Raw genomic sequence first — 14,133 nt, 5'->3', positions numbered from 1 at the left:
GCACATAATAAGTGCTCAGTAAATGTTAGCTATTATAATTACCTTCACCTCTTCTGTCTGGGCTTATGGTTTATCTGCTGTTTGTTCTGACATTCTCAATAAGCATGCAGAAACCAGCTTGAAATGGTTTAAACATGATACCACCTGAAAGCAGGGGAAGTACTGAGAATTTGCTATTAATGCACTTAAGATGATAATTTGATCTCTTCAGAGAGGAATTTCTTCTGCTCTAAAAATACATTTTAAAACATCTCCCAGGGCTGGGCACTGGGGCTTGTGCCTATAATCCCAGCACTTTGGGAGGCCAAGGCTGGAGGACTGCTTGAACTCAAGAGTTTGAGACCAGCCTCAGCAACATGGTGAGACCCTGTTGCTACAGAAAATAAAACAAAGTAGCTGGGTGCAGTGACGCACACCTGTAGTCTCAGCTACTCAGGAGGCTGAAGCAGTAGGACCACTTGGAGCCAGGGAGGTTGAGGCTTCAGCGAATTGTGATTGTGCCACTGTACTCCAGCCTGGGTGACAGAACGAGCCCCTGTCTCAAAAATAAATATATAAAAATAAAAATAAAAGAAGCACTGACCTTGTTGAGGTACAGTATACTTGCTCATGTACTCGTTTTCTCTCGCTCTCTCTTCTCCCCTTTATTGGGCTAGGATAATTTAAAATATTTATAAGTAGATCAGGGTTTCTCAATCTCTGTATATTGACATTGTGGGCTTCTCATTCTTTGATATAGGGGGCTATCCTGTGCATTGCAAGATGTTTCATGGCACTCCTGGCCTCTGCCACTAGATGTCTATGGCACCCCCTCCCCAACCAGTTGCAACAACCAAAAGTGTTTCCATTATCATACTTCTGATATACTTCACCTTCTGATTTACCTGTAATGTGCTCTGATTCTGACATTAGCTGACAGTGTTGTTTTGATAGCCAACACTTAATTGCTAAATGTCTTGTTGGGGAAGTGCCCTCAGTTTGAGAACTACTGAAATAGATTCACTGACTTTGCTAGGTTCTTCATTTTTTTCTAGTCAGAGCACCTGATAAAATAGGTTTTTTGGTTTTTTTTCTGATTTTTCTTTTTTTTTAAATTTTCGTTTATTTTTCACATTTTTCCATGACTCCATATATAATTTTTCTTTTTTTTAAAGACAGTCTTGCTCTGCTGCCCAGGCTGGAGTGCAGTGGCTTGATCACAGCTCATTGTAGCCTGAATCCTGGGCTCACGGGATCCTCCTGCCTAAGCCTCTTGAGTAGCTAAGACACAGATATGTGTCATCATGCCTGGGTTAATTTTTTTAGTTTTGTAGAGCCAAACTCTCATTTATGTTGCCCAGGCTGGTCTTGAACTCCTGGCCTCAAGTGATTCTCCCACAGTAGTCTCCCAAAGCACTGGTATTCCAGGCGTGCACTACCACGTCTGGCTAATTTTTTGTATTTTTGTAGAGATGGGATTTCGCCATGTTGGCCAGGCTGGTCTCAAACTCCTGACCTCAAGTAATCTGCCCGCCTCAGCCTCCCAAAGTGCTAGGATTACAGGCATGAGCCACCTCGCCCAGCTCATTTTATTTTTATTTATTTATTTATTTTGAGATGGAGTCTCACTCTGTCACCAGGCTGGAGTGCAGTGGCATGATCTCGGCTCACTGCATCCTCTGACTCCCTGGTTCAAGCGATTCTCCTGCCTCAGCGTCCCGAGTAGCTGGGATTACAGGCATGTACCATCACGCCCAGCTAATTTTTGTATTTTTAGTAGAGATGGGGTTTCACCATGTTGGCCCAGATGGTCTCGATCTCCTGACCTTGTGATCCACCTGCTTTGACCTCCCAAAGGCTGGGATTACAGGCATCAGCCACCACCATGCCTGGCCCATAATGAGATGTTTTTGTGCAAGAAAGAAATGGCATATCTTTTCAATCCACAGATACCAACTTTAGTTTCCCTACTCTATTTTGCTTCTTATATATTGCAACGGACAGAATATTTGTGTCCCCTGAAAATCAGTATGTTGAAATCCTAAACCCTAATGTGATGGTATGAGGAGATAAGGCCTTTGGGAGTCAGTAGATAACGAGGGTAGGGTCCTCATGAATGAAATTAGCGTTCTTATAAAAGACACCCCAGAAAGCTCTCTAGCCTTTTTTCCCCCTTCACAAGAGAGTACAGGAAGAAGTCACCGGTCTGCAACCCGAAGAGGGCCTTTGCCAGAACCTAAACCATGCTGACGCCCTGGCCTCAGACTTCCAGCCTCCAGTACTGTGAGAAATAAATGTTGTTTAAGCCACCCAGACTATGGTACTTTGTTACAGCAGCCTAAACTGACTGTTACAGCAGACCTATAACCCTATCTCATTATTTTTATTTTTGGCCTAGAAGTACTTCAACCAAAACAGCTATAGCTTCCTCTGTCCTGTCTGAGAATGGTCCAAGTTAAGTGATACACTTCTCTCATTTCTCCATGAGTAAGAGATTCTTGGGACCCATTGTTCAATGTCACCTCATAGAAGAACTGTACAGATTTCTCAGACTATCAAACTGTAACTCCTAGATTTAGCAGCCTTGTCACCTACTTTTTCACTATGTTCTCAAAAGGTAGCAACTCACCTGCAGGCAACTGCTGATTCTGCTCCTGATTGATTTGAGGCTTCACAGACTCTACGTAGATTATTCACTGGGGTCTTAACATCACAGACAGAATACTCATAATTTTCCATAAATATTCTCCACACTAAATTGAGCTTGATGGAAATAGGGGTGCAACCCATACTTTATCTTCCCAGGTCAATTTTTTCTTGAAATGAGTATCCTGACTGGGCAAGGTGGCTCAGGCCTATAATCCCAGCACTTTGGGAGGCTGAGGCAGGAGGATCACTCGCCTACAGGAGTTTGAGATCAGCCTGGGTAACATGGCAAAACCCCTTTCTACAAAAAAAAAAAAAAAATATATATATATATATATATATATACACACACACATATATTTACATTTATATGTATATATTTACATATATATGTATTACATATATGTATATATTTATAATGTATAATATATATTATATATATATATATTTATTTACAAAAAACTAGCTAGGCATGGTGGCATGCATCTACAGTTCCAGCTGCTCAGATGGCTGAGTCAGGGAGGATCCTTTCAGCCTGGGAGAGACACAGTGAGATACTTTTTCCAAAAAAAAAAAAAAAAAAAGATCCTTTCTCTCTCACCCTGTTTTAGCATCATACACAATCACACTTTTGTCAGAGTTAGATTGGTAATTTTTTTTGAGACAGTGTCTCACTCTGTCACCCAGGCTGGAGTGTACAGTCTGCATGATGGCATCATCACAGCTCATGCAGCCTCAACCTCTCAGGCTCAAGTGATCCTTTCACCTCAGCCTCCCGAGTAGTTGGGACTACAGGCGCATGCCACCATGCCCAGCTAATTATTGTATTTTTGGTAGAGACCAGGTTTTGCCATGTTGCCCAGGCTGGTCTTGAACTTCTGGGCTCAAGTGATCCTCCCACCTTTGCCTCCCAAAATGCTGGGATTACAGGCCTATGGTAAAATTGATTTTGTTATATGTCCTTGTAGGTTTTTTTTATTGTTGTTTGTTTGTTTTGAGAACGAGTCCCGTTCTGTTGCCCAGGCTGGACTGCAGTAGCGTGATCTCCGCTCACTGCAGCCTCTGCCTCCCGGGTTCCAGCCATTCTCCCCGCTTAGCCTCCCGAGTAGCTGGGATTACAAGTGCCCACCACCACGCCAGGTTAATTTTTGTATCTTCAGTAGAGAGGGGTTTCACCATGTGGCCAGGCTGGTCTCGAACTCCTGACCTCAAGTGATCTGCCTGCCTCGGCCTCCCAAAGTGCTGGGATTAAAGGCATGAACCACCATGCCTGGCCTATCCTTGTGTTTAAAGTCGCAGTTTCCAAGATCCTCTCCATGACCATGTTAAGTGAGGATTTACTGTATTTGCATATACTGTATTTGTAAACTTCCCGTTACTTTCATCTCTAGATTGCTTATAATACCTTATACGATGTAAACTTTAAATCATCTCTACATTGCTTATAATGCCTTATACAATGTAAATGCTATGTAAATATACTGCATTGCGTTTTATTTTGTATTATTTTTATTGTTGTTGTTGTTTTTTAATGTTTTCCACCCAGGGCTGGTTGAAACTGAGGATGGGGAACCCAGGATACAGAGGGCCCACTGCACATCATATATCATACATAGTACATTATATATGTATTATATATGTATATAAAATGGCTTGATATTATTCATTTATGTAATGAATAAAAACTTAGGTCTGAAAATCATCCAAAATAATTCTGGTACATCTAAACATTGAGTTGTTGCGTTTTTCTTTATTGGAGGGGGAGTTAGAATAAGTGGTGCTTTGAGGTTAGCCATAGTCCATCGTGGATGAACATTTGCTAAAGAAAATTGTTATTAATTCAATAAATCATTTATCTACCTCTTGGTGGCACAAAGGGCCTAGTAAATTTTGGTGGGCTATTTGCTCTTAAGCAAAGAACAATCTGTAAAGCTGATTTGGAGGACGCTTGGGAACAAACGAGAGGCAACCACGTGAAAGGCAACGTGCATGTGACTTTCACAGAAAATACTATTTGATGATGATTTAGTACGTGAAGTGCAGCTAGGGTAAAAGGAAAATCTGAGTGTTGCAGATCAAGGGCACCAGGTGGGACGCAGTTGGCATGCAAGCTCAGCCAGCCAAAACATGCGCTGTCAAACCAATCACTTGGGATTACAATGTTTTGGTTTTCAGGAAAGGTTGCTTGTTGAAGCAGCCAAATTCCAGCCTGGAGAGACAGAGTTGAAATTTTAAGGAGACTTTCCCAAGAAGTATTTCGATATCTTTTCCGACACCCTGAGAAGATCACGAGGCGCCAAGAATGCACGCCCTGCGCCTCACCCCAACCCCTCTCTCAGCTACCTGGCCCCAAAACCAGGCCTCTAAAATGGATTAGAGAGGTCTGGGGCCTAAAATTGGCCTCGGAAGCGTTCTTTTTCCCTCTTTTCTCCACCCCTTCCAGAGTTCAAAACTGGGTGTGCCCTCCCTTTTCCGAACGCAGCCCCCATCCGAAGGGCGGATCCTGATTCCCGCGGGCTCAGGCCCCCGCAGGTTGGCGGGAGCCGGTGGGGGCGGGCCGGCCGAGTCCGGGGGAAGCAAAGAGAACGCTGCCGCGCGCCCCGATCAAACTCGCGCCGCCACCAGCTCACGAGCTGCGCCCCACCCTCTCCGTCACCGAAGAGGCCCAGCCAATGAGCGGGCGAGAAAGGCCGGGCCTGCGAACTAGGCACCGGGAGGGAGAGGGCCGCAGGGGGAAGGGAAGTCGAGAGCTCGAGGGCGGGCTGCTCTTGATTGACAGCTCGTTCGAACGAATCCTCCACGCGGCTTTCCTTCGCTCTCTTTTCTACTCATCCCTGCTCTTCGTCCCACCTCCTCCTCCTCCACCCCTCTCCTCTTGCCTTTCGACCCTCCCCACTTCCCCTCCCCCACTCTGCGGGCAAATCGCTGCTGAAAAGAGGTAGGGGCCGAAGCGGCGGGCTCGTGTGGAGCCGTGAGGCGGGATTGACTGGCGCTCGGGCCAATGAGAGATAGGCTCATGGCGCGGCTGTAGCTGGAACTGACCAATAGGAGGGCGGGCTGGGGGCGGAGGCCCAGGTTCCAAACGCTCCGCGGCGCCATGGGCTGAAAACTCAACCGAGATGGAATCTCCCAGTCTGAACCGGTTTCAACCGGTTCCGAGTTTGAGGCACTAGGAGGAGGGGGAGAAGCGGCTGCAGCGGCCGCGGCAGGAGCAGCGGGAGCTACAGCATCAGCAAGAGCAACAGTAGCTACAGCCCCGGCGGCGGTGCCTGTTCCAGTCTTTGCTGCTGCAGTCCGTGCAACCACCCAGAGGGGGAGGGGGGAACCACCAGTCGCTGAGGAACAAGAGAAGGGGGGAAAGTTTAGGCGAGCCTTGGGGGGGGGGGGGCCAGCGCCGGAGCCGCGTGAGAGAGGGAGCCGTGTTTTGGTAGGGGGGAGTCGGACTGCAACTGGCAGCAGAGCGTCTCCCCGGCCGTGTGGACTCTACACCCCCTACTCCTGCCGCTTCTGCTGCTGCCTGTGGCTGGAGGGTCCCCCTGGGGCTGAATCTTTGGGACTTGACCCCGTTCCCTCCCCCTTCCCTCACTCCCCAGCCGGGCGGGAGCATTTATTCCCCAGATTAATTCCCCTTTTGGGGGGGGGCGGGTGTGTGTGTGTGTGTGTGTGTGTGTGTGTGTTGGGGGAAGCGTCCCTGAAATAGTAAATATTATTGAGCTCTTTTTGCCCTTTTCCTGTCCGTTTTTTTAATTTCCTTTTTTGAGGTGGGAAAACTGAAACCCACCTTGATTCGTCCCCTCTCCCCCCTCCCCACCTTCCCTCGCCCTAATCCCCCAACGAGGAAGGAAGGAGCAGTTGGTTCAATCTCTGGGTAAGTCGACTGTGTCTTCGGGGCCGAGGGTCGGGCGGCGGCGCGGCCGGGCGGGCGGGAGGAGGCCGGCGTGGGGCGCGGCGGCGGCGGCCGCGGGAAGCGAGCCCGGGAGGCGGCGGGCGGGCCGGGGGCGCGGCGGGCCCACAGCGGAGCCTGCGATTGAATGGAGCCGCTTTTGCCGCTGGGGGATGGAGGCGGGGAGGCGGCCTCGGGAGGGGAGCGCTTGCTGGGTCATTCGCGTGTGCGGGTGGCGGTGGAGGAAGGCGAGGAGTGTGATAGTGAAGCGGGGCCCCGCGCGGGGTGGGAGGGGTTCCCCAGCCCCTGGGGCTGGGGAGAAGTTGGGGTGATTTCAGGAACATCTCTGTAAATTATTAGGAGTGGAAGTTTCCAGAAATATTTAGTGCAGCAGCATTGAAACGTCCGCCTGCATCACGTGGCCCCCTCGGTGGAGAGCTTGGGATGGGGGAGGGAGGGGCTGCCGACTCCCTGTTCCTCCAGCAAGGAAACTCGAAAGCTCTCCGGTTTTGCAGAGTGGCATGTGAAGTAGGAAAGATCAGTTTTTCAGGGGCCTGCACATGGGATTCCGTCTTGTAGTTCCTTTTCAGGGGTTTGAATGTGATAAGTTGGTTAAACCATTTACTGTTGGCCTTGTACAGTGGAGGATGCCCTGATTCTCCTTCATTCCGATGTCTGTGAGTTTGGGTTGGGTGGGAGGAAGTGGTGTAGTAGAGGAAGCATTCAGTACTGGCTCAGCCCGGACCTCCTCTGATCACGCCGAGGCCATGCTGCATAGAGAAAGGGGCGGTGAACTTAAGGCGCCTGGTCTAAATGCCTCCTCCGAGTAAGGGCGGGGTGAGTGCGTGCTCCTGTGTGCTATAGTTAGAAGGGCTGCAAATCGGTTCGGGTGGGAAGCGAGGGGAGGGCGGGCCCTAATGAGGTGTGTTTTTCCTGAATGAAGCGGGCGATTGCCCACACAACCTAAGGAGCAGTCTTTCGCCTTGTAGCGACTTGTTTTTCACCTAGTGTGAAGTTATTAAGCAACGGTTATGATTTTCTGGGTTTTGTTTAGGAATTGGCATTGGGTGTCACTTGTAGAGTCACATTATCCATTAAGCTGGATAATCCCTAGTGTATGTTATCCAGTGAGTGGATTTTAGGATTGAAGAGCCCAATGGGAATGAGCGTTCGTGGTTACACCTCTCGCACTATGGCTTGTTTGCTGTCTGATTGTATATCTTAAGTGTGGGACACTGCTGTTAGTGGAAAGAATGTTTTGGAAGCGGTTTGATTTGGGGGACTAAATGTGCTTGGCATTGACCACAAAGCCGCCATTTCTGTACTATGTACAGTTCAGGAATAGGTAGGTGATTTCGAAGATAGCCGCTAGTTCTAAGGATGGCAAACTACTGTATTTAAATCCTTCTATTCTAAATCTCGTTTTTCACATCAGTCTAGTTCGGAGAATTTTATAAGAACAGTGTATTTGAAAATGAAACTTGTAAGAGTCATTTTCTTAATCCTTTTTTGTTTTAGCATTCAACTATGGTAGTAAATAGGTGAAAAGTTTGTTCAATATTTAACCGAAATATTTGAAAACTTTTGATACATGGATCTTGGTGCTTTGTGGACATTGCTTTTAAGCCTCAAATAATTAAGATTGTTCTGATCTTTTAAATTTTATGGTACTTGAAGGTGGAGGAGAGTTTACACATTCATTTGTGGAATATATATTTCCTCTCAGTATTTAGATCTTAAGGTTTTTTTGTGGTGTGTAACAAGTATTCTGCTGTTTAAAAACGTTTGTTTAATGCCTACTACGAAACGTTTTGAAGTCTCATCAGTTTTGTCAATAATGGACCAATTCTTGAACTCCTAATTTCTTGAGTTTTACATTATTTTTACATCATATCAATCATAGGTGACTCATCTTTTGGAGTTCTAATCTGTTGTAACAGACGTTATATTTAAATAAGACAATTGCATTAAAATAGAATTTGCTGCCATTATTGTTATGGACATTTTTAAGCTGTTATAAAATAGCCAGGAATTAATGACTTTTTTTCCGCCCTGCCAAGCTAGTTTGTCTAAATATAATGTAAAGAAATTAGCTACTCATTTTCTGGTCCACGAAAGTTCCTAAAATGGGAAGAAGTGGAGATCTGACCTTGTTAGTTCTAAATACACTAAACTGGGAGTGCCATGGATGGCTTTCAGGATGTCCTGAATCCTCTATAATTGTATACAAAATCGTGAGTTTTTAAAAACTGGGTTAGAGCTATTGGTTCCTCAGAGTCTCAGGCATCTTAGACCCCCAAAAAGGTTAAGGACTACTGACTTAACCAATTAGGTTTGAGTGGCATTGGCTTTGAAGAAAAGCAGAGGAAAGATATATTTTATAATTCTGGGCAACAAAAAAGTGGATGTGTGCCAGCATCTTAGAGTAGAATCCTCTTAAAAGGATAGCACTGCATATGAACTAGTAGGTTTTAACCAGTGCATATTTAGGCGAAGTAGCTCATTTTTCTGTTAGAATTCTTTTTTATTTGGGAATGGGCAAGCTTTTACAGCTTTTACCTTGCCAATGAATACCTGGAATTTAAAAAATCTTGTTAGGCATATTGCCCATAAAGTTTTTTTTCCTAGATCATATATTCAGTAAATATGTTTGTAGCTTTATTTCAATCCCCCAATTCATTGAGGGTTGAAACAATTTGAATGGTTTGAGTGTAGAAGCTAAGTTATTTCTGTAGAGGCTAAGGGCATTTATACCAAGATATGTTAGACTTGTGGTTCCTGCTAACCATTGCTGTAGACAATAGGAATTACTGTATATCCACATTTTAATTTTTAACATCATTCTGTCTTTGTTTGTTTGTTTTTGAGATGGAGTCTCATTCTCTTGCCCAGGCTAGAGTGTGGTGGTGCATCTCGGCTTACTGCAAACTCCGTCTCCTGGGTTCAAGCAGTTCTCCTGCCTCAGCTTCCCAAGTAGCTGGGATTACAGGTGCCCGCCTCCATGCCTGGCTGATTTTTGTATTTTTAGTAGAGACGGGGTTTTGCCATGTTGGCCAGGCTGGTCTGGAACTCCTGACCTCAAGTGATTCGCCCACCTCGGCCTCCCAAAGTGCTGGGATTACAGGTGTGAGCCACCACGCTCGGCCCATTCTGTCTTTATAGCATTATTTTTATAAAGTTAAGATAATGTGAAGTGAGCTTTTACTGAGTTATTCAGAAGACCCTACTTGGGAAGAAAAGAAAATCACATTCACTTGAACTTAATCCTACTTGCTTAAAAAGTTTTGACATCAAGATACTGAACTGTATCACGTTTTAGGACCATAAAATCCTAATAGTGGATGCGTTTAAATAATAGGTTAGCATACTTTATAAATGTTAGTAGAATAGGAAAGTCTTCCTGGTGTATAAACTAAACACTAGAAAAGTTGAATGGACCATAATAATTTATGTAATTATCAAATAGCTAAGTAATTTCAGCTTTTGTTACTTGCTTTTACTATCTCAGTTTTCTGTAATTAAAGTCTCTAAAGTATTCATTAAAATATTTGTAATAACATGGTTGAAGTAAAATAACTTGTAGGAAGTTTTTGATAATACCAAAACTTGATAGGCAGCTTCAATTTTTTTTCTTTATTTTCAGTAATCTATGCCAGCAATTATGACAATGTTAGCAGACCATGCAGCTCGTCAGCTGCTTGATTTCAGCCAAAAACTGGATATCAACTTATTAGATAATGTGGTGAATTGCTTATACCATGGAGAAGGAGCCCAGGTAAAGTAGCCAACCAAAACTTTATAACATTATGACAGTGTAACAGAGTTGTTGGGTTTAGAATAAAATTTTAAATTATCACCTTTAAAAAAGATATTCCATAGTTTGCATTAATTTGGAATTCTGTATTAACCATAATGAAAATTGGTTTGGAGAAAGAAATTGCATGTTTGACATGGTTAGAGTGGGTTGTTTTGGAATATTATACTTGTTTTGTCCTTAAGAGCCAAATGTTATTAAATACTTTGTAGGTATTAAAGGTTCTCTGTACTTTTATATATACTTAATATGTTTGGCACTAATACGATTCTTCTACTTTTAAAACATTTACAGAAGTACTTCACAGATATGTTTGTTTAAATAAAAACAGGAATACCAAGTATTTTTATGTTAGTTGAATTTTGTGCACTTTTCAAAGTGGTACTGTTAATGTAGGGAATTATCTTAAACATAAACCAAATTTTGATCAGTTTAAGATTTTTGGTTTTTTTGAACCCAACTAAAAGGTGAAACAGAAATGTGTGTACAATTTTAAATTGTATATGTCACAAGAAAAAAAACTTGATTTTTTACCTGTGGGGCCAAACTTTTTTTTGAGACAGTCTCGCTCTGTGGTCCAGGCAGGAGTGCAGTGGCGCTATCTCAGCTCACTGCAACCCCTGCCTCCTGGGTTCAAGCGATTGTCTTGCCTCAGCCTCCCTGGTAGCTGGGATTACAGGCACACGCCACCATGCCTGGCTAATTTTTGTATTTTTAGTAGAGATGGGGTTTCACCGTGTTGGCCAGGCTGGTCTTGGAACTCCTGACCTCAGGTGATCCACCTGACTCGGCCTCCCAAAGTGCTGGGATTACAGGCATGAGCCACCGCGTGCTGGCCCAAACATGTTTTTGAATGAGTAAAAAGTTTTGCAGTTGGGTCAGAAATCTTTTTTTTTTTTCAGATGGAGTCTTGCTCTGTCACCAGGCCTGAGTGCAGTGGCACAGTCTCGGCTCACTGCAACCTCTGCCTCCCAGGTTTTCAAGCAATTCACCTGCCTTAGCCTCCCGAGTAGCTGGGACTACAGACGCGCCACCATGCCCAGCTAATTTTTTGTATTTTAGTAGAGATGGGTTTCATCATATTGGCCAGGATGGTCTCCATCTCCTGACCTCGTGATCCGCCTGCCTTGGCCTCCCAAAGTGTGGAGATGACAGGCATGAGCCACCGCGCCTGGCCAGAAATCTTTTATGGTAGTTTTGTTGCCAGAACAGTAGATTTCTGGTTAGATAAATGTTCAGCTAGTAGATGGGAGGTTACTTATATTGTCAAGATATTTATATTTGCATAATTAAGAAACTGAGTGCCGGCCGGGCGCGGTGGCTCACGCCTGTAATCCCAGCACTTTGAGAGGCCGACGCCGGCGGATGACGAGGTCAGGAGATCGAGACCATCCTGGCTAACACGGTGAAACCCCGTCTCTACTAAAAACACAAAAAATTAGCCAGGCGTGGTGGCGGGCGCCTGTAGTCCCAGCTACTCGGGAGGCTGAGGCAGGAGAATGGCGTGAACCCGGGAGGCGGAGCTTGCAGTGAGCCGAGGTTGCGCCACTGCACTCCAGCCTGGGCAACGGCATGAGACTTCGTCTCAAAAATAAAAATAAATAAATAAAATAAAATAAAAAAACCTAAACCTGAGTGCCATTACACTTTCTGAAAATATATAAGGTGGATACAGTACTATCTTTTATAGTAGTCCAAAAAGCATCATGTATAAATGTTTCCATTCCCTTATGAAATGCAACAGTACTGCTTTTACTATAGTAGAAACTTGAAAAAGGTCCATGGAAACGCTAAAAGTAGAAAAAATTACTCTTGCAGTGATTCTGTAAGCTTGTTAGCCCAGGTTTATACTTTTAGGGCGTTTTGATCAGTATATTATCTCCTAAAGCATTCTTGAAAAAATTAACCATCCGTATTTATTATCCCTGTCATTTAGTTGTTACTCATGCTATACATTCAACATGAAGCTTTAAGCTTCATTTCTTCTAGCATGGATGCATAGAAAGCAGCTGCTTTTGGAGGAAGCTATGAAAGTAAGGTTGGGTTCAACTCTGAATGTAATATTGGAAGCACAGGTCTGTAGCCATTGGGAAAAAGGGCATTTAATTTTTTCCGCATAGATTCAGCTACTAATACTGTTTAATCTTCACACTAAACTAGTTCACTACATCTAAAGGTATGATAAATAAACCAACATAGAGCAGTGTTCTTCATGGCTTGTAACAGAATTAGTGGCAATTTTTGTAATTGAGAATATATTACAGCAATACTGCTTTTAATAATGTTTCATAGTATTAAGAAATTTAATGGTTTGTTTTAAAATTGACTTGTTAATAAAAAGTAGATTAAGAAAAGTGTTTCTAAATTTTTTTGTTTGTAAGGACAATAGGTTAACTTTCCCAAAGTAAAAGGATTTTGTCTGCAGTAGTTAATAGATCATGTGACAAAATCAGTTGCGTAGAAATAACTAGCAAACTTATTTTGTATTATAAATGAAGAAACAAGATTTAGAGCTTAAAGCTGGTTAAGGAGTCCTTTTGGTCTCTAAAAGTCCTATGTCGTTAGTTCAGTCTACTTTTCGTTTACCACCTCCTTGGGGGTCTTATTTCAAAGGAAAAGGAGTAGTAGTAGCAGCGAGCTGCTATAGTGGAAAACATGATTTTTAGTGTTAGACGTCTTAATTTGATTCTTGGAAGCTCTCTCTAGTCATTGCTTAAGTCCCATGTACAAATATGACCTGTCCTACAAGAGATTGGAGGGTTAGTTATGAGGTTTAAAAGCACCTATTACAGTGCTTGATAGGTAGAAGGCACTCAGCTTAAAGGGTACATTTAGCAGTATAATGAAAATGATTTAGCATATGTGATACTCATTGCTTAAAATTAAAAAAATTTTTTTTTTGCTACTCATAAAATATGCACTAATGACAAGAAAAATTTATTATGCTAATTAAGCTTTTAAAGTCAACTGGGAAAAAAAGCTGTAGGTAGGTTTTTTTTTTTTTAAAGGAATGTGTAACTTGGGGGAGGGGAAGAAATTATTTACAAGGGTGACTTTTAATCTGTAGACAGAACTTCTGCATACATGGTTAGTATAGTAGGATATTTAGCAGTGTAACATTAGGACTACCCTCTACCCTCTGTTATCAGCATTTTTCTATTTTTAGCCAAGTAGACAGCTAGAAAAAAGATGCGGGAAGAGTTGGATGTTTTCTCCAATATTGTGTTCTGTTAAAGATCTTGAACTCTATTGCTTAGCAACTAAAATGCTTTCACCATTCAGTTAGTAGTACAAGGGAGATGCTAGGTTTTCTCTCTTTAGTTTGCTTTTGTGTCTTTTTTTTTTAAACCCCTGCTGGGGTTTTAAGTTTATAAAGAACATTATGTAAGAATGGTGGGATTAGAATAAATCAGAATGCAAATACTAGAAGTAGCATCAGAGAGTAAAATTACAACTAACAGGAAAGAATATTATTTATGTAGCGATTGATGTGAGTGGTGATAGTGTGGGAAGTATTTGATTCTGTGTAGAATGCTTATCACTTCAAAGCATCTGACAAAATGGTAACTTGACCAAGTAACTTTTACTGTGTGAGGATCTTTGATACAACTTTTCCTCTAGTTAGATAAGGTTATCTAGCTAGATATTCTCAGGGAGAAGACCAAAACACTGCTAAAATGTGCTTTGGCCCTAGATAAGCCACATCATTATTCTTTCGGCCTTCTGTCATTTCTCATATGACACATTATGCCCATCAGTCCTTTAATGAAATCAAATAGAAATGTGTATGATTGTATTTTAAAGTATACAC

The 14,133-nt window shown here is 43.2% G+C and overlaps 1 protein-coding gene across 20 annotated transcripts in view, besides 6 other annotated features; it reads left to right on the top strand.

Moving 5' to 3' along the window:
• Window positions 4,357-5,146: an enhancer, noted in NCBI's record as "H3K27ac hESC enhancer chr2:61766044-61766833 (GRCh37/hg19 assembly coordinates)". NCBI's record gives its function as "activates a minimal SCP1, AML or CMV promoter by ChIP-STARR-seq in primed H9 embryonic stem cells {active_cell/tissue: H9 hESC(primed)}" and the evidence as "EXISTENCE:reporter gene assay evidence [ECO:0000049][PMID:30033119]".
• Window positions 4,357-5,224: a biological region, named in NCBI's record as "H3K27ac hESC enhancer GRCh37_chr2:61766044-61766833".
• Window positions 5,085-5,224: a silencer, noted in NCBI's record as "silent region_11530". NCBI's record gives its function as "represses an Ori minimal core promoter by ATAC-STARR-seq in GM12878 lymphoblastoid cells {active_cell/tissue: GM12878}" and the evidence as "EXISTENCE:reporter gene assay evidence [ECO:0000049][PMID:35858748]".
• XPO1 (exportin 1) overlaps window positions 5,443-14,133 on the top strand; it is a 60,764-nt gene continuing 52,073 nt past the window's right edge. For 4 of the 20 annotated variants that reach the window (XM_047445771.1, XM_005264544.3, XM_011533098.3 and 1 more), the window contains exons 1-2: window positions 5,699-6,493; window positions 10,152-10,283. In XM_047445771.1, the coding sequence (XP_047301727.1) occupies window positions 10,158-10,283 (126 nt within the window). In that variant the 5' untranslated portion in view covers window positions 5,699-6,493; window positions 10,152-10,157. Of the gene's footprint in view, window positions 5,564-5,698; window positions 6,494-6,678; window positions 7,346-9,376; window positions 9,633-10,151; window positions 10,284-14,133 lie in introns of those variants that run through there. The other 16 variants (XM_047445761.1, XM_047445767.1, XM_047445760.1 and 13 more) reach the window with 8 other exon arrangements.
• Window positions 5,715-5,974: an enhancer, noted in NCBI's record as "active region_15833". NCBI's record gives its function as "activates an Ori minimal core promoter by ATAC-STARR-seq in GM12878 lymphoblastoid cells {active_cell/tissue: GM12878}" and the evidence as "EXISTENCE:reporter gene assay evidence [ECO:0000049][PMID:35858748]".
• Window positions 7,069-7,128: an enhancer, noted in NCBI's record as "active region_15832". NCBI's record gives its function as "activates an Ori minimal core promoter by ATAC-STARR-seq in GM12878 lymphoblastoid cells {active_cell/tissue: GM12878}" and the evidence as "EXISTENCE:reporter gene assay evidence [ECO:0000049][PMID:35858748]".
• Window positions 7,849-7,908: an enhancer, noted in NCBI's record as "active region_15831". NCBI's record gives its function as "activates an Ori minimal core promoter by ATAC-STARR-seq in GM12878 lymphoblastoid cells {active_cell/tissue: GM12878}" and the evidence as "EXISTENCE:reporter gene assay evidence [ECO:0000049][PMID:35858748]".

This window comes from Homo sapiens, chromosome 2 (genome assembly GCF_000001405.40).
Source record: "Homo sapiens chromosome 2, GRCh38.p14 Primary Assembly".
Taxonomy (NCBI): Eukaryota; Metazoa; Chordata; class Mammalia; order Primates; family Hominidae; genus Homo; species Homo sapiens.
This window is presented reverse-complemented; position numbering and strand designations above follow the sequence as displayed.